The following is a 24,865-nucleotide window of genomic DNA, read 5'->3' as shown; positions in this document are numbered from 1 at the left end:
TTCTCTCACACATACTATTCAATTCTGCCATTAATTCCTTCTTATCCCCCATCCCCTCCCCACTGTGGACAGAAGTTGCATAGCTGTCTGGTCTCCCAGATCACTCCTACTTTAAAAAGTATGATCTTGAGATGCAATATTGGCCTATATCCCAAGAAACCAAAAGAATTAAAGCCACCAATGTAAAACTTGGAAACGAAGTTAAAGATTATAAAGAGTAAGGACGTTCAAAACTACCATGGTCATTTAATCCTCCTGACTAATTTTAGAATAAAATCCTTAAGAAAAAAAGGGGATCACCAGGAGCAGTGGCTCATGCCTGTAATCCCAGCACTTTGGGAGGCCAAGGCGGCTGGATCAACTGAGGTCAGAGGATTGAGACCAGCCAGGCCAATGGGGTGAAACCCCAACTCTAATAAAAATACAAAAAAATTAGCCAGGCATGGTGGCGCATGCCTGTAATACCAGCTACTTGGGAGGCTGAGGCAGGAGAATCGCTTGAGATGAAGCCACTGCACTTCAACCTGGGTGTCAGAGTGAAATTCTGTCTCAAAAAAAAAGAAAGAAAGAAAGCAAAAAGGGGATCAACAAGAAGGTAAATTTGTTAGCAAATTATTAGAGATACGTACACAAAACACACATGCACAAATATAAAAATGTTAATCATACATCTATCACAAGTCTTATATGTATAGAAAAAGTTACTATTAGAATACATACTATTAAATGTGTATAGGCCTTCCATCATCTGGCTCAGTTTAATCTACCATTAGTATCCCATTGAAATGTTCAGCTGTAGCAGAAGATGCCATGCTATTTTATATCTTTACACATAACTAAATTTTTTGTATGAAATATGTGACTCCTACTTCTGCAAAATACAATTCTTAAAAGTTAAACATATTGCTAAGGAAATTACTATTCTCAAGTATTTTATCCATAAAAAATTAACAAAAATAAATTACACAGCTAACTTCAAGAGAGAAAAGGAATGGGATATTACACAAACAAAACCAAAATAAAGTGATAAAAAAGAAAAGGAGTTAAGAAGAAAACTGAAAGCTGGTTATGTGAAATAAAAAAAAAATCACTGGCCTATTTTTTTTAAAATAAAATAGAAATACACAAAAATAAATTATAAACGATTAAAGAAACCCACAGAGTTAATTTAAGAGTAATAATCAATTATTTTGCTAAACAATATACAAGTAAATTTGAAAACCCAAACTGAAGACAATTTTCTAAGAAAATGTGCTTTACCAAAACTGAATTCAAGAGATAAAAACCTAAAAACTTATTTACATAGGAGAAATGGATAAAATTGTCAATTAATAAATGCAATAGCAGCAGTCCAAGATGGTCTCACTGGAAAATTTTTTAAAACCTTTAAAGATCTGGGCCGGGCGCGGTGGCTCACACCTGTAATCCCAGCACTTTGGGAGGCCGAGACAGGTGGATCATGAGGTCAGGAGATTTGAGACCATCCTGGCTAAAACGGTGAAACCCTGTCTCTACTGAAAATACAAAAATAGCCGGGCATGGTGGCGGGCGCCTATAGTCCCAGCTACTCGAGAGGCTGAGGCAGGAGAATGGCGTGAACCCGGGAGGCAGAGCTTGCAGTGAGCCGAGATCACGCCACTGCACTCCAGCCTGGGCAACAGAGCGAGACTGTGTCTAAAAAAAATAAAAAGAAAAAGAAAAAAATAAAAGAAAATCTGGCAATTCCAATGCTTCTAAAATATTTTCCAGAATATGAATTAAAGAAACCCTCCTCGTACAATAAAATTGCGCACGCGCACACACACACACACACATACATACATAATCTCTAAAGTCAATATCACTTATGAATAGCATAGGAAATATCCTAAGTCAAATATTATTAGCAAACACAATGTAAGCGTACATGAAAGTTATTAGATATGCATCATGATCAAGTGAGCTTTACTCCAAGAATTAATGAATTTCCAATACTAGGAAATCCATTAATAACTTTTTTTTTTTTTTTTTGAGACAAAGTCTCGCTCTGTCAGCAAGGCTGGAGTGCAGTGGCACGATCTCGGCTCACTGCAACCTCAGTCTCCCGGGCTCAAGCAATTCTCCTGCCTCAGCCACCCGAGTCGCTGGGATTACAGGCGTGTGCCACCACGCCTGGCTAATTTTTGTATTTTTAGTAGAAATGGGGTTTCACCATGTTGGCCAGGCTGGTCTCGAACTCCTGACCTCAGGTAATCCACCCGCCTTGGCCTCCCAAAGTGCTGGGATTACAGACGTGAGCAACTGCGTCTGGCCATAAACTTTTATGATATTAATTTACATTAATACTTTTATAATATTAATAGACCTCTGCAAAAATATTTCTTTTCATATATGCTGAAAATCTGTCAAAATTTCATAACAATTTTGGACTAAAATACACAATAAAATAGGATTAGATGAGAATTTCCTTCATATGATATAATATATCTGGATTGGCCCAAAATTTGCTGTTGTGCTTAATGAAGCAACACTAGACGCATTACCAACAAAACCAGAAATAAGGCAAAAGCACACTATCATCACTATTATTTGACTCCAGTAATTCCACTGGAGATACCAGCCAAAAATAAATAAATAAGATTTAAAAATTATATATTTTGGAAAGGAAGAGGTACAACTATTATAATTGAAGAAAACATAAAAATATAATTGCACTTATAGAATATATGTGAATATATGCATACAATTGGCATATAGGGCTGACTGGAATCAAACATACTGAGAGAAAAAAAAGGTTTTGAGAGCGCTGTATTTGCAAAATGACTGCAGCTGTATGAGATATATGAAAGATCTCTAAGCTCCCAACTTGCTATTGGCAGGAAGTATATTGAGAAAGCTGCTAAGAGAGCAATGAGTGGATACTTTCCAATGCTTTATTTACATAATTAAGAAGAATAATAGGCCGGGTGCGGTGGCTCACACCTGTAATTCCAGCACTTTGGGAGGCTGAGACGGGTGGATCACCAGAGGTCAGGAGTTCGAGACTAGCCTGGCCAACATGGTGAAACCCTGTCTCTACTAAAAATACAAAAATTAGCCAGGTATGGTGGCGCACACCTTTAATCCCAGCTACTCAGGAGGTTGAAGCAGGAGAATCACTTGAACCCCCTGGCAGGTGGAAGTTGCAGTAAGTGGAGATTGTGCTACTGCATGCCAGCCTGGGCAACAGCAGCAGAAGTCTGTCTCCAAAAAAAACAAAATAAAATAAAAAAGAAGAAGAAGAAGAAGAAGAATGGAAATGAAATATCCTTCAAGAGAATAAAGCCAAGATCCATGGTGCACAAAAACTGGGAAGCCATATCCAAAGAGCAGAACCAGGACCTAATTCAAGGTAATTTTCCTAACTTTAGGACAATAGGCTGGCGATATTTGCCCAGATAAAATTTAGAATTGCTAAAGATCTCTTACTGCTATATAGTGCCCATTCTTATCTTTTATAAATAGCAGTGATTATTGCCAAGTGGGACAACATTTTAAAAGTCTGTATTTGCATGTATGTCCATAAAGATGCATATAAAACAAACAATAGTAATTACTGCTTTAGCTTGGGCAAAAACTGGAAAGACTGGAGACACGGTGGAAAGAAAATAGGCTTTTTTCTGTAAACCTATTTATATTTGTAATTTTTGGAACCATGGGAAGGCAGTCCATGTTCAGAAAATAAAATGAAAAATAAAGAAGAATTTTAAAAATTTCATAGCACTTCATAATTTCTGGAAAAGGGGTTTAGAGAAAGAGACATTAACATAATGATTCCCATGTTTCTGGTTTGATCAACTTAGTGCACTATGGCAAGACAGAAAATATATTTTAAGCAGAGATACGGGAAAGAAAATTACATCTTAGGTATGTTGAGTGCCAATTATATCTAAAGCTATCTACCAGTCTTAGGGTGAGGATTGTATGGCATTGTCCAGATTTTAGCACTAACATTCCTACATCCTGGGAAACCCAACCCACCTCAAAATGCAAAATATTAAAATTTTCAGCAATGGATGCAGAACCTTAAGGGAAAAGTACAAAACCCATATGACAGCCCAAGTATGGAGGCTAAAAGCAACATTCTATTATACTTAGCTTCAAATGGATATGTCATAGATTATCCACTTTTTTGCTGTTTTTTTTTTTTCCTAACTACTATCATTGGCAACCATAATCTGCCATTCACAGAAATGGAAAATCCATTCTTGCATCATTGTGAGTGATGTGATTTATGTATTCAACTAAGTGCATTCTAATCATAAGCATTAACAATCGTTTTAGACATTGCCTGTGGATTTACTATGTGCTTTGTCTTGAGGTAATGCTAGTTTAACATTCTGAATATTGTGGCTATGTTTTCTAAGAGTTCAAATGATGAAAATGAGAATGATTACAAAACAGATGCTAGCATCACCCAAGCAACCGTATTATTTTAATGACATATGGAAAGATACATGTAACTGGTTTAGAGAGGCAAGTAACCACAACAAAGCATCCTACACAATAGGCAGAGAGAAAATTGGGATTAGGCATGGTAGAACAGGGGATGTGAAAGCATATAGGGAGATTAAATGTTATAAGTCCTGGCTGAAACAGGCAAGTTTTCTAAATTAGCCAAAGGTTGTTTATTATTATTATTTCCATCAAAGGCACCAATATTTTTGAAAATAGCCAATGAAGTAGTTTATGGGTATACCTTAAGAACAAATATGCATGCTACACTCAACTTGACTATTTTTTAATAAAAATGAATAAAATTACATTTACCAATTCAGAGGTTACAACCATGTAGGAAAGCAAATAAGAAAATGTTGGTAATAGATGTGTTGGCTTATTGCATTGTAGACCTGATTTAGTCAAACCTTGTTAACAATCATGCTTTTTGCACTATATCAAGAGGTATCTCAATAATGAAAAAATGCTCACCCTGGTTCTTAGTGGCTCTGGTATCAAAAATTGAGTTTCATATAATCTTCTAGATTCTCGTAACATTTTATGAAACTACCGAAAACACAAAACAATGCTGGCATCTTTTCCAAATAATAACTGGACTTTGCTCATTGTATTAGTCTCCTGGTGCTACTGTAACAAATCACCACAAATGTAGTGGCTTAAAACAACATGAATTTATTCCCTTACAGTTCTGGGGTCCAGAGGTTTGAAATGGATTTCACTTGATTAAAACCAAGGGGTCAAGGCTAAAAATAAAGGTACCAGAAGAGCTGAGTTCCCTTCTAGAACATCCAGGATGAGAATTGGTTTTCTTGACTTTCTAGCTTCTAGGGGCCACCTTCTAGTGGCCTCTTTTTAAAAAAAAAAAAAAAATGTAATTTATTTTTAAGTTCTAGCATACATGTGCAGGACATACAGGTTCCTTACATAGGTAAACATGTGCCATAGTGGTTTGCTGCACCTACCAACCCATCACCTAGGTATTATGCCCTGTATGTATTAGCCATTTATCCTAATGCTCTCCCTCCCTCCACCCCCATGACAGACCCAAGTGTGTGTTGTTCCCCTCCCTGTGTCTATGTGTTCTCATTGTTGGGCTCCCACTTATAAGTGAGAACATGTGGTGTTTGGTTTTCTGTTCCTGTGTTAGTTTGCTGAGGATAATGGCTTCCAGCTCCACCCACGTCCTTGCAAAGAACATTATCTTGTTCCCTTTTACGGCTGCATAGTATTCCATGGTGTAAATATACCATATTTTCTTCATCCAATGCATCATTGATGGGCATTTGGGTTGAGTCTATGTCTTTGCTGTTGTGAATAGTGCTGCAATGAACATGCACATGCATGTATCTTTATAATAGAATGATTTAATATTCTTTTGATTATATACCCTATAATGGAATTGCTGGGTTAAATGGTATTTCTGGTTCTAGATCTTTGAGGAATCACCACAGTGTCTTCCACAATCGTTGAACTAATTTACATTCCCACCAACAGTGTAAATGTGTTCCTATTTATCCACAGCCTTACCAGCAGGTTGTTTCTTGACTTTCTTTTTTTTTTTTTTTTTTTTTTTTTGAGATGGGGTCTTACTCTGTCACCCAGGCTGGAGTGCAATGGTGCAATCTCAGCTCATTGCAACCTCCACCTCCTGGGTTCAAGTGATTCTCCTGCCTCAGCCTCCTGAGTAAATGGGATTACAGGTGCACACCACCATGCCTGGATAACTTTTATATTTTTAGTAGAGACATGGTTTCACCAAGTTGGTCAGGCTGGTCTTGACTTTTTAATAATCACCATTCTGACTGGCGTGAGATGTTATCTCACTGTGGTATTGATTTGCATTTCTCTGATGAACACTGATATAGAGCTTTTCTTCATATGTTTTTTGGCCACGTAAATGTATTCCTTGAGAAGTGTCTGTTCATGTCCTTTGCCCACATTCTGATGGGGTTGTTTGGCCTTTTCTTGTAAATTTGTTTAAGTTCCTTGTAGATTCTGGATATTAGGCCTTTGTTAGATGCATACATTGCAAAAATTTTCTCTCATTCTGTAGGTTTTTTCTTCACTCTGATGATAGTTTCATTTGCTATGCAGAAGCGCTTTAGTTTAATTAGATCCCATTTGTCAATTTTTGCTTTTGTTGCAATTGCTTTTGTTGCTTTTCTCATGAAATCTTTGCCTGTGCTGTTTCCCAAATGGTATTGCCTAGATTTTCTTGTAGGGTTTTTACAGTTTTAGGTTTCACATTTCAGTCTTTAATCCATCTTGAGTTTAATGTTTGTATAAGCTGTAAGGAAGGGGTCCAATTTCTCTTTTCTGCATATGGCTAGCCAGTTTTCCCAGCACAATTTATTAAATAGGGAATCCTTTCCCATTGCTTGTTTTTGTCAGGTTTGTCAAAGATCAAAGGGTTGTAGATAGGTGGTCTTATTTCTGAGATCTCTATTTTGTTCCATTGGTCTATGTGTCTTTTATACCAGTACCATGCTGTTTTGGTTATTGTAGCCTTGTAGTATAGTTTGAAGTCAGGTAATGTGATACCTCCATCTCTGTTCTTTTTTCTTAGGATTGTCTTAGCTATATCAACTCTTTTTTCGTTTTATATAAATTTTAAAGCTTTTTTTTTCTAATTCTGTGAAGAAAGTCAATAGTAGTTTAATGGGAACACCACTGAATCTATAAATTACTTTGGGCAGTATGGCTATTTTCACAATATTGATTCTTCCTACCCATGAGCATGGAATGTTTTTCCATTTGTTTGTGTTCTCTCTTAATTCCTTGAGCAGTGGTTTGTAGTACTCCTTGAAGACATCCTTGACATCCCTTGTTAGCCATATTCCTAGGTATTTTATTCTCTTTGTAGCAGTTGTGAATGGGAGTTCATTCATGATTTGGCTCTTTGCTTGTTCATTGTTGGTGTATAAGAATGCTTGTGATTTTGGTACATTGATTTTGTATCCTGAGACTTTGTTGCAGTTGCTTATCAGCTTAAGGAGCTCTTAGGCTGAAACAATGGGATTTTCTAGATATAAGATAAGGTCATCTGCAAACAGAGACAGTTTGACTTCCTCTCTTCCAATTTGAATACCCTTTATTTCTTTCTCTTACCTGATTGTGCTGGCCAGAACTTCCAATACTGTGTTGAATAGGAGTGGTAAGAGAGGGCATCCTTGTCTTGTGCCAGTTTTCAAGGGGAATGCTTCCAGCTTTTGCCCATTCAGAATGATATTGGTTGTGGGTTTGTCATAAATGGCTCATACTATTTTGAGATATGTTCCACCAATATCTAGTTTATTGAGAGTTTTTAACATGAAGGGAGGTTGAATTTTATTGAAGGCCTTTGAGATAATTATGTGGTTTTTGTCTTTAGTTCTGTTTATGTGATGACTTACATTTATTAATTTGTGTATGTTTAACCAGCCTTGCATCCCAGGGACGAAGCTGACTTGATCGTATTGGATAAGCTTTTTGATGCACTGCTGGATTCGGTTTGCTCATATTTTACTGAGGATTTTCACATCAATGTTCATCAGGGATATTGGCTGAAGTTTTCTTTTTGTTGTCGTTGTATCTCTACCAGGTTTTGATGTCAGGATGCTGCTGCCATCATAAGATAAGTTAAGGAGAAGTCCCCAATATTCAATTGTTTGGAATAGTTTCATAAGGAATGGTACCAGCTCCTCTTTGTACCTCTAGTAGAATTCTGCTGTAAATCCATCTGGCCCCAGACTTTTTGGTTGGTAAGCTCTTTATTACTGCCTCAACTTCAGAACTTATTGGTCTATTCAGGGATTCGACTTCCTCCTGGTTTACTCTTGGAAGGGTGTATGTGTCCAGGAATTTATCAGTTTTTTTTAGATCTTCTAGTTTACTTGTGTAGAGGTGTTTATAGTATTCTGTGATGGTTGTTTGTATTTCTGTGGGGTCAGTGGTGATATGCCCTTTATCATTTTTTATTGTGTCTATTTGATTCTTCTCTCTTTTCTACTTTATTAGTCTAGCTTGTGGTCTATTTTATTATTTTTTTCAAAAACCAGCTCCTGGACTCGTTGATTTTTTGAAGGGTTTTTTGTGTCTCTATCTCCTTCAGTTCCACTCTGATCTTAGTTATTTCTTGTCTTCTGCTAGCTTTTGGATTTGTTTGCTTTTAATTCTCTAGTTCTTTTAGTTGTGATGTTAGGATGGCGATTTGAGATCTTTCTAGCTTTCTGATGTGGGCATTTAGTGCTATAAATTTCCCTCTTAACACTCCTTTAGCTGTGTCCCAGAGATTCTGGTACATTGTATCTTTGTTCTCACTGGTTTCAAAGAACTTATTTATTTCTGCCTTAATTTCATGATTTACTTAGGAGTCATTCAGGGACAGGTTGTTCAATTTCCATATAGTTGTCTGGTTTTGAGTGAGTTTCTTAATCTTGACTTCTAAATTGATTGCACTGTGTTCGGAGAGATTATATGTTAGATTTCAGTTCTTTTGCATTTGCTGAGGAGTGTTTACTTCCAATTATGTGATCAATTTTAGAGAACATGCCATGTGGCACTGAGAAGAATGTATATTTTGTTGTTTTGCAGTGGAGAGTTCTGAAGATATCTATCAGGTCCACTTGATCCAGAGCTGAGTTCAAGTTCTGAATATCCTTGTTAATTTTCTGTCTCAATGATCTGCCTAATATTGACAGTGGGCTGTTAAAATCTCCCACTATTTTGTGTGGGAGTCTAAGTCTCTTTGTAGGTCTCTAAGAACTTGTTTTATAAATCTGGGCGCTCCTGTGTTGGGTGCATATATATTTAGGATTGTTAGTTCTTCTTGTTGAATTGATCCCTTTACCACTATGTAATGCTAGTGGCCTTCTTAATCTTCAAAGCAACCAATGGCTGCTTGAGTCTCATACATCACATCACTCTGACATAAGTCTTCTCTTTCCCTCTTTAAAGGACCCTATAATTACATTGGGCCCGCCTGGATAATCCAGGCTATTATCTCCTATTTTATAGTCATCTGATTAGCAACCTTAATTCCATCTGCTACCTTAATCTCTCTTTATCATGTAACATAACATATTCACAGGTACCAAGGATTAGGACTTGAACATCATTATGAGGCCACTATTCTGCCTACCACACTCATCTATCTGCAGGTTTGGCAGACAGTGTGAGTATAAATTTTGACAAACTTAATCAATGTATAAACTTCTGACCAAAGAAAATGCAAAAAATATCTCCTGCTAAATACCCTGCACTCCTTGTATACAACACTGCTAAAAGGGGAGTGATTTGTCTACCTGTGATATTGAGAATTACATAATGAAAGCTTTTATTCATGTTTCAATTTCCTCAAAATGTGCAGAAGCACATGATGAGATTCTAAATTTATATAAATGAAAAAAAAATATGTTCTTTAGACTTATGCCTGTAAGATGGTTATTATTATTACTGGCTGTAGAAAAGGTGTCAAAACATTGGCCAGTCATAATTGACTTTCAAAGTATGAAACTAAACATAATATTCTATTCTAATTTGGAAATACATTGAGGATAATAATGAAGAAAATATTAAAATAAAATAGACATTATATGCTGTTTCTCTAAAAGAGTTCAATACATCTTTAATAATGGAATCTAGAAAAGAAAGAACTAATGACATCTGAGTTGTTTGAGGTTAAATTGTGGCAAAAATACATATTCTGATTCAAAACTGCAAAACTGTTACCAGAAAAGTATAGCCAAGTTAGAAGACTTTTTCATTATTTATTTAGTAAAACTATAATTTTATTTGGAATCCAATTCAATTTTACAAGTTCAAATGACCTGTGTGCTTTAAGACCGTTTTCTCAGAAACAGAGAGGTTTCACTTACAATGGTATAAAACGTGCTCTGGAGACGTTTAAATGATGGATATTTTAGACAGGGATTATCCATTTGATAAATTCAGAGAAACAAAAGACCCGGTTGAGAAACAGCTAGTCTACTGAAAGAAGCCTGTAGATATAAAGTGGATAGACAGATCGGGACTCTAATTCCAACAAGTCTAAACATACGCCACTTCTTGGAAGCAAAATCCTAAGCAGTCAACTTATTTCGTTGATAGGATATTTACTTTGATGTTATCACATCAGATTGATACCAGGAATTAGTGAATGTGGGCTTGATGAGAACAGAGCTACAAATAAAAGTGAATTATATATTTGACTATATTCACCTTTACTATTACATAAAAGGAAAAAAGCATGACCCAGAAGCTGCAGGCAGTTCAGAGCAACACAAAGAGTGAAAATATCCTATTGTATGATGAGACACAAAAAAAACACATCATTGTTATTTTGTATTAAATAACAGTCCTTTTGTATTTACATTCTTGCTTTATATTCTCATATTTGTCTATCTTAAAAATTCATAATAATACACCCTACAAAATTTAAGTATCTAATAAAAGTTTTAAATACTTAAATGCATTAAAAAACAGAAACATCATTAAAATATTGTTATATTTTTCTCACACATGTCATTTGTTTAATCCTCCTATTACTAGTAGGTGTCACTTTTAAATATCCTAGTGTAATTTTGTTTAAATAGAGCAATTATGTAACAGAAAAGTAAATAATATGAAATAATACATACTTTCAATAAATACTCTTTTTTGTGCTTTAAATGTTAAAGTATTGCATACGCATATGATTATTTATTATATGTTATTTGTTATAGGTTGACTTTTTTGGTCTGGCATGATATGAATAGGTACTAGGTTGGCTCTAAAAAACTGACCACACTGTTATTTGACCTGAAGCCCATGACTGATCTGGGCTGGAAATAAACTGATGTAAAAAACAATAATCTTACCTAAGAATTCTTTTATTGCCAGTTATATACCATTACAATATGACTCTGTATTGTAATGTTTTTGTATCCCCCACTAGACAGTGAACATCCCGAGGAAAACTATGGTAGCATATTCACCTTTATTCTGCCACTACCCAAAATAGTATCTTAACACATAATAGGCTCACCATAAATATTTTTATTAAATGGTCCTTGAAAAATTTTAAAGAGTTTTATTTAAAATGTTAGTATGTTACCTAGGGTAGAAATATTTTATTATGAAAGAGAGAAATAAGAGTGAGTTTTACATCAGTACCACCTTGAATTAAAAGGTGAACATTCAGTTTGAAAAAAATCAATTTTAGAAACAGTTCATTTGGAAAGAATAATATAAAAACATGTTCCAAGGACAAGAAGGCAGTGCATACGCAAAAAGTATAAAATGCATTCCATGTAAGTTAACAAGAGACCATATGTCATATTTGCAGATGAAATATTACAGATTTATTCCAGCTATATAAGGAAATGGAAACCGCTTGTGTAAAGATAGTTTTCAGCATCAAGCACTAAATGAATTGCTGTCAAACTTATTAATATGATTAAAAGTTGATATCTTTGAAATTTATAGCAAGAGCTATATGCAAAGATCTTCAAAAACTTACAAAATTAGGCTAAAAATTTATCTATATAAAGCTAAAAAGTTAATGAGTTGGAGTTTTTCCCCTTTAAAATATTACTCAGCTCTTCATGGCTTTTTATTCACTATATGAATATTGTTTTTTCTTTTATACCTTTAGAAAGAAAACCGCTACAAGCTTGTCCTCTGAGAGGGACAGAAGATTCTTAAAAATATAAAAAATAACAATATAATTTCAGTTCCAAGGATAGGTTATAATAATACAAAAATTACCATTTCTACCTGAAATAGTATATTACATTTAAATATTTATTTTACCTAATTAAGTTGTATGCTTTTTTATATTATTTAAGTGCATTATGTAACTGAAGCCAAAAATATTTCAACAATTTTATCAAAATGCATTTTAAACAAATAGACTGAGTCTTCCTAATAAAGTCAATCTCATGATGAGTGAATTCACTTCAGAAAACATTATTTAGGTAAAATTACATTGACGGAGGGATGAACTTAAGGACATAATGAAAAGTACCTCAAGACATTTGCCGTCAGTTTTCTTCGGTATTTTCTTCTGTATTTGGATAAGACTTAGAATATCAGCAAGACTCTTTACCTAAATCCATTGGTTCAGAAATGTACAGATCATGAGTGCTGTAAGATTGTATATGAAACCAGATTTTATTTTCCTATTGAATTATCACCATTAGACCATTTAACTGTTCTAATTTATTCACTGGTTTGAACCCAAAGCAAAGTCTACCTCTTAAGGAAAATAAAACAGCAAACAGTACATTCTGAGATAAATCAAATTTATTGGATAGTTTAGTGAGAACTTTTTCATAAAAATAAGAATTCCTATAATTTAATCTACCCTAGTTTAAAGAGACTCAAGAAGTGTTAGAAAATCTCTGGCAGCATAAAAATGGCTCTAACTAGCCCCAGCATCTAGACACTCACTAATATGTGATTTCTAATTACTTTTGTAGTTTGTCACTGTTTAGCACAATGAAAGCTAATTGACCAGAAAATTTTGCTTAGATTATACTTAGCTATGGCTAAATTTTTACCGTTATTATTCTGGTTTCTTTGTGAATATCTCAACTTTACTGCCTCATTAAACTTTAAATTAGATTTTGATTATAAGAGTATTTTATGAAAATTTTCAAACAACTGCAATATTCACACAGGAGCTATAGTACTCTTAAAGCCACTGTCACATTTTTCTAAATTTAATTCATACTCATTCTTTCTGGATTATTAAAAACAATGGCACTTTGATTTTAATTAAACACTTCATTTGAAAGCCATGACTAATAAATGTCAAATGCTAAAGGTGAATTTATGTTAAATGGATATCAGAAGATTTTTCATAGCATGAAAGGAATTCAGGTCTGAGGGTTTTTAGTTTTACAATCACCAATAAGGAGCACAGACAAGAAAGGTAAAATTAACTACCTCAATCTAGATGCTTGTGTTAATTTATTTTCATGTTGGGAATCAGTGAGCTCAACAATGGGTTCAGTGGGTGAGGCATTCCTTAATTCTCTAAGCCTCAAAAGACAATTTTTTTAAAAAATTAGGTTTGTTGCTTACATGTCCACCTTGCCCACATGCATTATGTTTTAACAAAATATTGAAAATCAGCATATGAATGTATTTCTTAAAGAAAATGCTTAAATCACACTGGCACTTTTTGAAGTTTTGTTTTGTTTTGTTTTACAAAATGCTTTTATAAAACAAGGTAATAAGATACAAGTCGGCATCACTAGAAAGCCTCCTTAAATAGCTTTACTTTAACTGCTAACATTTCATTTATATGTTTATTGTTATTTTCCACAGTGTGTGCAATCTTTGGAAGACAGAATGAATGTTTATTTAAAAAGAGCTAATACTTTTTGCTAATACAAGATGTAAGTCAGTCAAGAAATAGATGTAACCACTTCTGATCAGTTTGACATTAATACTGAAATTCTCCTGGTTGGCTTGGCTATCAAAGAACTGGAAAGCAAATATTCAAAATCATTACAACATGGCCAACATGGCTGGACTATGACATCCAAAGCAAAAGCCTCTTAAAATGTTATTTGGGGAATATAATTAAGTCAGTAACAGCTTCTACTAACACATGGAAAAACCCACCTAAAAGACATTGCATGCTTTGTATAATATACTCAGTTCTCAAAATGATCACACTTGAAGTAACTCAAATCTGTCTACATACGATCATGAACTGAAAAGCTCTATAAGTAATAAAGGTAAGAAAAAAGACAATGGAAGGGCCCAAATGAAACCATAGAGATCCTAGCTCCTTATAATTCTCTCTTTATCATTAAAATAACACATGTGACTCCCTAAAATCTTCATCCGATTTTCTTGTAGACATAAATTCTGACTTAAACTGAGCCAAAACATTAGACAAGATTCTAAGAGTATACTGTCTTGGCCAACTTCGCATCTTCCACTAAGCCTGTTGCCTAATTACCATTACCATCTGATAAAATGTACTTATTTTCTCAGGTAAAATATAGGTTCAAAAGGCAGTAAAATGTGAAAAAAAAGAATACACTCCACTGCTGTAAAAAATAAAATAAAGGAAAATAAAAGTGCAAGAGTTGATGAAGTTAGAATATTATGCTAGAAAATATACCTATTTAAGCTACCAATTTAATTTTTTTCCATATGAAGAAATATTTTCGTTAGACTGTTGATAAAAAGAAAATACAAATTAAGAAATAAGCTGCTAATCAGTAATTTACAGGCTAGTTTTATTCTTGGATGTCAGTCCTAGAGTTGAAGTTCTCATTCTAGATAAATAATTTTTTAAGCCTCAGAAAAAAGATTAAACTGATGCATCATGTAATATTGCATTTTATGGTCAAAAAGTAATTTTTTCCCCAAATGTACTATAAAATTCAAAGAAATGCAAACCAAAAATGGTTTAATTTTTACTTATTTAGTTTTAATTACTTAGAAAGTAACAGAAATGGAGCTCAACAAATGCTAGGCAATAAGTGTTTACATAGTAACAAAATTCTATAGACATGTGTCGAGTGGAAATAACCTTAGAAATTAATTCAATCTCAAGGCCAAATTCAACCCTCCCCCCTCTCTACCCTTTTCCAGGGCTCCTCCCCAACTTATTTCTTTGACCATTTTAAAACACTTGAATCTTAATGGCTTCATAAGAGGCACAGTCTCTTTCCCCGTAGGCCTACCAGCTTTTACTGTCTCACACCCAGCCACTTCCTAAATCTGCATTACTTGCCTGACCCTCCAAGGCATAGGAATTGGCCACCTTTCCCTTATTTAATCTAACTCCTTACATTTGAAAGCAAGAGATGACTCAGAAGAGTTAAAAGATTTGTCTATGTTCCTGAAGTGTGTTGGTGGTTATACTGGCTCTGCTCAAATGTCTCAGCTCTTGGTTCTATGTTATTATTTTGTGCCTTTCCATTATCCACATCATCTAAAGTTTTATACGTATTAAGCCATAATGTATGAACAGAAGTTCACAGTCTATATATGGCCGTGTACTGAGAAGTGTTCCAAAAGGTCAACAAATCTGTATGAACTTGGAATAAAGAAGTTATGCAAGCCATGTGGTATCATGGCACCAACTGCATTGTTGTGATTTTTCAATAAAAATCACTAGGCTGACTTAATCCAAAAACACGACTTAATCTTATTAGTCATAACATTTACAATTATAGACAGAGAATTGATACACACCAAGACAAGAAGACTGTACCAATTTCAACAGCCACACAGAAATTAAAATATTTATATAATGCTACCCAAAGAAAATGGGCTTAAACCCATGAAATAAAAGATAAATAAAAATTGGAATACATAAAATTTTGCCACAGAATAATGCTTGCAGTCTTCTTTTTTCAAAATTAGCAGCTATTGGCACACTATAGAAATACATGAAGTCACCTTATTAAAAGTTGATTCAAGAATGAAAGTCCTACAATCTAATTAAAATAATTAGGTCTTACTTCAATTGAATGTTCCTAGTGCAACTGGAGGGCTTCTGCAGGTTACAGGAGACTGACAATCTGGACCCAGTCTTCATCCAGGTGCCTAATAGTCAATGCTCATTTCCTGTTCATAAATCAAAAACCAGAGTTAAATTGGGAACCGCATCAGATAATTTATCTATTGTCTCTTGAATTTTGTTCTTTGATTAATGCTTCTTAGCATAACTTTATCAGTTCATTTTATTGTAAGCAGACAAATTTTTCACTTCTTTTGGAAGTCAACAATGTATAGACTTTTTATTTTTAAAGCATACCATTTTACCTTAACAACAAATGTATACAAAAACACACAAATACTTTTCTCCCTTGATTTCATTTTTCCATGTTTACATTTCAATCAATTCGGCAAGCATAAATTGCACACTTTGTGCCACACACTGCTAAACATAACAAAAGATAAAGCAGGCCAGGCACAGTGGCTCACACCTGTAATCCAAGCACTTTGGGAGGCCAAGGCAGGAGAAATTGCTTAAGCCCAGGAATCTGAGACCTGCCTGGGGAATATAGAGGTGTTGGCAGCAGCAGCCCATCTGGAGAGGTTGCTGCCATGACACTGGCTACAGTAGGGGAGGCGTGGCTAGGGCTGCATGCCCCATGGCCTGGCAGGAGCCAGGAACAGGTGGAATCTCCACCCTCCTGAGTTGGCAGGGCAGGACCCCCACCCTTCCAGTCACAGCTGCAGCTGCCCATGCTTTGATCATGGGGCAAAGTTGAACATTGTTGCAACCTGGCTGGGTGTGCGCAGGCTTGGGGCAGCACTGACACACAATCACCCTGCTGCCTTGGCCCTCTCCAGACTTTGGGCACCAACAAGCACAGGAAGAAGGCTGAGAGGGGGCTGAGGGAAGCTCAGCATAGGACTGCAGGGGCCCCTCAGCACAAACAGCCTGGGTGGCAAGGGAAGACAGACAGGCTCCTAGGTGGAAAGAGACGGCTCCCCGGTAAAACTGCACCTTCAAGCCAGGATGGCCTGAAGCCTGGGGGCTGGGCTGATGGACCAGAATGGGAACTATGGTGCTTTTTCCAGGCCGACGAAAGGCTGCCCATGAGCCAATCAGTATGCACTTCCTCCCCACTGAAGCCCATAAAAACCCCGGACTCAGCCAGACTCAAGGAGATGACAGGACAACCTGCCTACAGACAGGAACTCCAGGGTCTCCTCTCTGCTGAAAGCTGAAGAGATGATGGGACAACCAGCTGTGGAGAGGAGCTACCCACTCCAGGGTCTCCTCTCTGCTGATAGCTGAACACTTGTTGGGACACCCTGCCTGTGGAGAGGAGCTACCCAATGTGGGTCTTCTCTGAGCTATTCTGCTGCTCAATAAAGTTCCTCTTCACCTTGCTCACCCTCCATTTGTCTTCACACCTCATTCTACCTGGACACAGGACAAGAACTCAGGACCCACTGAATGGCAGGGGTAAAGGAGGTATAACACTAACAGGGCCGAAACATGCCCCTTGCTCGCCACATTGCAGGCAACAAGAAGGAGAAAAGAAAGAAGAGAAGAGCTGTGGACCTCCTAGACCTAGGAACTCCCTGAGCCAGGGCTGTGACACTCTCTCTGGGGCTCTGAGGTTCCTGGTATCTCCAAGCTTCCAGGCATCACCATGTTCCCTGGTGCCAGCCATGGAAGCGGCTTGCAGTACACCTGGACCAGCTGCAGCCTCACAGGGAGCCAGCACCCAGGCCAGTGCCTGGAGCTGCCCACCCCACTGCAGCCAGTGTGCTTGGTCAGACCCCATGCTTGCTCACTCACACACCCCTCACCACTCTGTTCACCCTTGGCAAGCATGGGATCCAGGCCAGTAGTGTGAGCCAAGCGCAGCCTGCCAGGTCAAGTGGGCAGAACGAGCCCAGTGGACCTGAGCAAAACTCTGGCAAAGGCGCTGCTGGCCAGAGGTTTCCAAACAGAAAAGCATCACCCTGAGGATCCTGGAACAGTGGGACCCTATCTCTACAAGAAATAAAAATAAAAAATTAGCTGGGCATGATGGTGCATGCCTGTGGTCCCAGCTACTTGGGAGGCTGAGGTGGAAGGATCACTTGAGCCTGTGAGGTAGAGGTTGCAGTGACCTGTGATTGCACCACTGCACACCAACCTGGGTGACAGAGTGAGATCCTGCCTCAAAAACAAAACAACAAAAAAATATGAAGGAGAAAATACGTAACTGGAAGGAAGTAACTTAGTATCTCTTTGGGAAAAAAGGATTAAACAAAGGAAGAGATGTGTATTAGAAAGAGCATATCTAGGACTGAAAGCTTCTCTCTTCATACCTGTATGGTCTTGGATAATTTCTGAATCTCTAAGTCTCAATTACTTCACCTTAAAATTAGAATGAAAACAGAAAACTTGCAGAACTATTGTGAGAATTAGAGACATGGTATGTAATGTGCCCCACACATTGCCCAGCATGTATTAGGTGCTCAATAAATGACTGATATAATTATATGTTATTTTAAGATATTGAGTCTTTTCCTTTTATATCTTCCAATACCAAGATTGGTTATTCTACATTTCATATTAACAGGCTGTGATATTAAGTAATAATGCTATGAATTATGAAGCTACTTATTTGTGCTTCACTCTCTTTATTGTAATATTTTTATCTTAGTTTTGAGATACTTGAAAGCTATAAAGTGTTCTTATTCTCCTTTCGAAATTACTTAACCCAAAATAAGCTATTATTTCCTTCTATCGAGATTAACTTGTAGTATTGTACAAGCTTGTGACTAGAAAAAAATTCTTACCCTCTGTTAAGTTAGTTTCCTTCCTCCTCAGTTTTTCACACTCATTTCAATATCTTCCATCTTCCTTAAGCTTTACATAAGAAATAATAATGTGTCATAAATTTCTCAACTACCAAAATACAGAATAAAATAATAATTCTGAATTTTTGTCTTAAATTCCTTCTGCTTTTAGAGAAAAAGGTGCTTAAGGTAGATCTTGTAAATTCACCAATTTAGAAGTGCTATCTAAATCTTCTTTCTTTTCTCACAAAGAAAGAACTGCTTGATGAGGATAACCTAACTAGGCTAATACATGAATTAAATGCAACCTAGACTTACCTATCCTCAAATGTTATGGACCGGATGTTGGTGTTTTCCCAAAATTCGTATGTTGAAGCCCTAATCTCCAATGTTATAATATTTGGAGGTGGGTCCTGAGAGTTTGCACACTCTCTCTCTGCCATGTAAGAACCTGACAAGAAGGAGACGATCTGCAAGAGAGCCCTTGAAAACTGGTTGGAACTTTGATCTTGGACTTCCCAGTATCCAGAACTGGTGAAAATAAATTCCTGTTGTTTAATCCACCCAGTCTGTGGGATTTTGCTATAGCAGCTCAATCTTCAAATAAACTCTTTAGTTCAATAATGCTATTACCACATTAGTATGGATACACACATGTGCATACCTGCCTATACACACACATAATTCAGGACATTTAATATTATCTCATTTGTGGAGAATAAAAGAAATATGGAATGAGGAGGATTGGAAATCACTACCTAATTCTCAAATTTTATTTAAGTGCCTCAAGATTCTATTCATGGGTAAGGGTATGCAAGAAATTAATGATAATTTTAGTACAAATGTGGGTTTCTGCTCCCCCTCAACACCGAAAATGAAAAAGTGAAACCAACCCAGTAGTCCCATAGACAGGTTTTGGGGTTTTCTGGATAAATATGGAAATTGACCCTTCTGGTCTTAAAGCTTGAAGCTTACATTTGTTTTACCTGAATTTCTTCTTCAGGAAAGGACCCCCCACCAGGCCTCTCAAAAAGTATCAAAGAACTGAAACCCACCAGATCACCACATCCAGAAAGTGAGAGGCCAGACCCCTCATTCATCATGATTGCTCTTAACCCTCCCAAGTTCCTGTTTTGCCACACATTGTGACATTTCTTCCCTGCTACATAAACCCCTAATTTTAGTAGGTCAGAGAGATGGATTTGAGACTGATCTCCCATCTCCTCAGCTGCAGCACCCCATTCAATCCTTCTTCCATGGCAATACTTGTGTTAGTAATTGACTTTCTGCGTGGCAAGCAGCAGGACCCAAACTGAACCCCTGGTGTTTCGGTAACAGAAAGAGCCTTAACAAAAAAGGCAGAGACATGTTCACAAAGAAGCTCAAGCCTTCAAGCTACAAATCACAAGAAATGCTAAGCCACATGGGGCTCTTTTCCTAACCTTTCTCTTGGCACCTAACTGGATTAAAATGGCATATTGCCATCTGCATCCATGCATGTGATTAAAAATCAAACCATATAGATTGAGTTAGACAGATGAAAAGTCATGTCATCTTTTGTCTAACATAATGCCTTTGACTGATCCTTGCTTTTCCTATCCCAACATTAAGGATTCTCTTTACTAAATGAAATGAACTCTAGTATCTTACATTGAAATTCATTGTTAAAGATGTGATTTTTTTCCTCAGGTTGCAGAAAAACTTGCCTGAATTAGTTCTTTGTGGACCTTTTAAGCGTTACCTAAAATCAGAATACTGCGACTAGAAGAAACTTAATGATTATCTCACTTAAGTGTCACACCAACATTTACCACTAGCTCCCACTTGATATTTCATAATAAACTCCAACCAGATCATATATACAATTTTTAACAATAAAATCTCATAAATAAAAAGCCCACTCAACTATGGAGGATGTTTTTCTCTATACATAGACTTTTAAATGGTATATTCTCATATTAGAAGGACAAAATGGTATAATTCTTTGGAAATTATCTTTAATTCTGATGGTGGCTTAATACACACATATTAATACATGTATTTTGGATTTTCCTAAGCACCACATATAAAAGAAAAAACCCAATGGAACACATGCTATGTCCAACTTAGCAAAGTTTCTGTGTGATTAATAGAATATTATTAATAGCCATTTTTTAATGGTTGCCATTCTATTAACTTATACAGGATGGCTATCTCCTTTTTCTAAAACAGTCTTCTTCAAGACACTTTACTTATCAATAACTAATAAAAATTCCCTGTTTTGAATCACATAAATTTCATTTTTAATTAAACATTTCTTGAAAACCCACCATAAGTTAAGCCTATCTACTTCAAATACTTGTACAAGATTTTGAGATGCCTTAATATTTTGATCCACCTCTGAGCCTCTTGAAGGCAAGGACTATCTTAGCTGTGTCCTCAGGATCTATCACTGTGTTAATATATAGAATATCACAATAAATGTTAATAAATGATATTTGTTACTCAACATTTCCATAGATTTCTACAATCCTTTTCATATAATGGATATCCTCGCCATCCCTTCAAAAATGTACTATGTACTCTCTTCATGTCTTTTCCCTTGTCCTTTCTGAGATATTTGTTCTGCTCTCTTGCCTAGTTTCTACTTATTTTCCATGATTCGCTTATTTCATAAAATCTATTCCAGCCTAAGCATTTCATTTCTCTCAAATTGTGTCAAGACTATATTACACTGAACTCTACTCTCCTAAAGAGAGTCAAAAAATCATATTTATACTTGTTATATATCCTCCACATGTCATAGCTCTAAGTTGGGAACATTGCTAGTTAATATATAAGATACAGATGGTTTGTGAGAAAAGATACAAGTCTCTTACTGATGAATTAGATCAGAGATAGGCAAACTATGGTCTATCAGCCAAATTTGGCCGGATGCCTGTTTTTATAAGTAAAATTTCATTGGGACACAACCACACCCATTCATTTATGTATTGTTTATGGTGGCTTTCCTGCTATAACAATCAGTTGAGACCATTTGGCCCACAAACCTAAAATATTTACTCTCTGGTCTACTACAAAATAAGTTTGCCAACTAGCAGTTGAGATCAGCGGTTTTCCAGTGTGGGTCCCAGATTTTATTGGCCTACTCACACTCTTAAGCATTGTGGTTTGATAATGTTACATAACCCAGTGGGTCTTAAAGGTAGTTTTTGCACTAGCAGTACAAGCATCACACTGAAATTTGTTAGAAATTCTAAATCTTAGCCACCATTCCAGACTGCAGATCAGAAATTCTTGAGATAGGGCCCAGCAATCTGTGTTTTTAGCAGCCCTCCAACTGATTCCAATTCACACTAAAATTTGAGAATCACTGGATTAAACAGAGAATCATTTATTAACACCCGACCATGATGACTTGGCCTGGCTATGGCAGATCCATTTTCTTTAAAGATATTCTAAGTTATGAAAATATATTAATTATGTTTCACCAGTCCTGAAATAAGACACCTTGCATTTATTCTGAAAGAACATGAAGGAACAGGATTATCTTGATGTGGAAATTGCTATAGCACTTTTAGTAAATGCCGAAATGCCACCAGCTGTATATCCAAAGGAAAGACAATATACCAAGTGCCAAAGTGTAAAACCTATCCAAAAATAGATTGAAATATCAAAGCAATATAGCAGAGAAGCTCCAATTTTTATCGGACTGCCTGTCAAGACAAACCTTTGCACAATGCTTCTCAGCAGGGACACAGGAGAGGCAGCATTGCAGCTCAGTATGGGACTCTGATAATCAAGCATTTGTTCCAACATGCATATCCCCAGCTCAAAGTCATAAATGTTGCCTTTCCATGATAGTGTGTGGGTAGCACTTTCCATGATAGTGTGCGGGTAGAAATAGGAATAAAAATAGGAATAATCACCACCAAGCCTTGTGCATGGTAATAATTAGCTAGCACTCCCTATGAAAAAAATTTATAATTGTGTTATAATATATACAATTTTCACAAAATAATTATGTTCAAACTTACGATAAATTCTCACTTCCTCATTGTTTTTCTCTAAAATACAGACTAACACAAGCAGCTTTGTCTATGATATGAAAGGGCTGTAATGTACCAAAAATAATGGAGAGTTATTGATAAGTGGAAAGCATTAAAAAAACTACTTCTTAAAAGACTTTTGTCTCAGTCTTTTATATTTTAATGGTATAAGCTTCCAGCTATTTCAAGAAACAAACAGTAAAATTATTTAACCTATTGAAGAGTCTCTACATAAAGGTTAAAAAAATATGTCAATCAATAAGAATAAACTATTGATTGACAGCCTCTAGAAACTTCACATTATTTCCTAGTCTTAAAAAAAGGTATGTTTCTACAAAATAAAATATCCGTTAGTTCTCTATAGAAATTTGACACATAAATTTCATATGCCTAAAATTCATATGAACATTTTATTCAATATTCTTTTAAAAGTTCTTTTATTTTGACATATATCTATAGAATATAGGAAAAGTGTTCAGACATGCTGTGTAACAGCATAAATGGAAAATACGGGCCTGGATGTTACCCCATGAATTTAGCAAATGACTGGCCACTGTTCAGATGATCTGTTCGAATTCTGATACAAAAACTTAAAATTCACAAATTTAAACCACAAATTAATGAATATATAAACGGACACACAGATAACACAGAACAAATTCAAAGAGGAAGAATACACAATGATCTTGTCATAGGGTTACAACCGACCCATGTAAAGATAAAAATGTTTCACCCAGAAATAATTAATCATAGGGAAACATAATCCCTACTTAGAAGGACAGTAGGTCACTAAATAGAATGAAACAAGGAGTCAGTAAAGGCTAAGAAGGTTACAGAATGTAATTAAGGGTAAGGCTCTGAAATTTTAAGAAGTGGAAAATTAGACTAAATGTTATAAACCTTTCATAGAAAGTCCTCTAGAATCAACCTCCAGCAGATGCTTCAATTGAGTCATTTAAAATTAGACAAGAGCCTGTCTTTGCCAAATGCCATAGGGAATTATTCAATACTAGTGGGATGTACTAAATGAACTATCTTTTTTCTTTTATTCATCTTTTGCATATCTAATTGCCATGATTTCACACACATTAAAAAATAATGAGAAGATAAAAATGCTCTGGAGGTTATTATGTTACTATTATTATCATATCAACTCATTCTTTTAATTTTTTTCAAAACAAGAGGAATGATGGGATAAAATAATTAAGAGGTAAGTCCTACTCTTGAATAGTCCACTCAAAATATTAAATTCAAAGAAAAGTTATATTAAAAGATAGAATATAGCTTTGTAAAATTTGCATAGTTAGGATCATATTTAATTACCCAACAATGTCCTAGCATGATGTATAACACAAAGTATATAATCAATAAATACTAAATGAATGAATAATAAATACCCATCCTCTGGAAACTGTCTCTTCTAGGGTTTATGGCCCTGAGATGTAGGTTAATTGTATTCATTAATTACTTAAATCCAACCCAGTCTACCTGGACTCAAAGTCTGGCCTTGCTACTTACTAACAGTGTGTCCTTGAGCAAGTTGCTTAGTCTCACCATGTCTCAGTTTTCACATTTGAAAAATGAGGAGAGATTACAATAGCATCTGCCTCTTGACCTTTTATAAGTATTAATGAGTTAATACTAGTAAAGCACAGACTTTATTACATAGTAAGCCTCAGTAATGGTGAGAAATCATTCTTAGTAATGGCCACCAGTGTTCATGGTAACCAATCAGACAGGAGACATCAGGATGTTAGTCTAGAAAACGTTAGAAAGGCCAGGTGACATTACACAGATTCTTAGAACGTGGCCCATTTACTAATACACTCTAAAAATAAGTTAGTTGATTTTATTAAGATTGACTATGGAAATAAATGGTATTCTCATCCAAGTTGAAGGAAGCCTGGCTCTTCCTTTACAGACTATTTCAGTCCACTAATGATTACTTAGCTTTAGCCTTCTAGGCTTTGTGCTGTATGTCAAGTTCTTGACCTCGATGAGGCGGTCCAATGAGTTATTAGTAAAACAATAGACTACTATGCTTTTCTGGATTTCATATTTACAATGCCAGCTCCATCAGCTGTCTGTCCATAAATGTAAACTCATGTCTGTGGTTTCGA

The 24,865-nt window shown here is 35.8% G+C and overlaps 1 protein-coding gene across 11 annotated transcripts in view; it reads right to left on the bottom strand.

Annotated features, from left to right (window-relative positions):
• The window catches only part of NAALADL2 (N-acetylated alpha-linked acidic dipeptidase like 2), a 1,369,567-nt gene that overhangs the window by 1,056,876 nt on the left and 287,826 nt on the right, over nt 1-24,865 (bottom strand). For 9 of the 11 annotated variants that reach the window (XM_017006077.3, XM_047447876.1, XM_017006075.3 and 6 more), the window contains one exon: nt 15,927-16,032. The gene's annotated coding sequence lies outside the window, so the exon portion shown is untranslated. Of the gene's footprint in view, nt 1-15,926; nt 16,033-18,717; nt 18,788-24,865 lie in introns of all 11 variants that reach the window. The other 2 variants (XM_047447877.1, XM_017006071.2) reach the window with 1 other exon arrangement.

The sequence above is a fragment of the Homo sapiens genome, chromosome 3, assembly GCF_000001405.40.
Source record: "Homo sapiens chromosome 3, GRCh38.p14 Primary Assembly".
In the NCBI taxonomy this organism is placed as follows: Eukaryota; Metazoa; Chordata; class Mammalia; order Primates; family Hominidae; genus Homo; species Homo sapiens.
The sequence above is the reverse complement of the archived record's forward strand: the minus strand, read 5'-3'. Positions and strand labels throughout refer to the sequence as shown.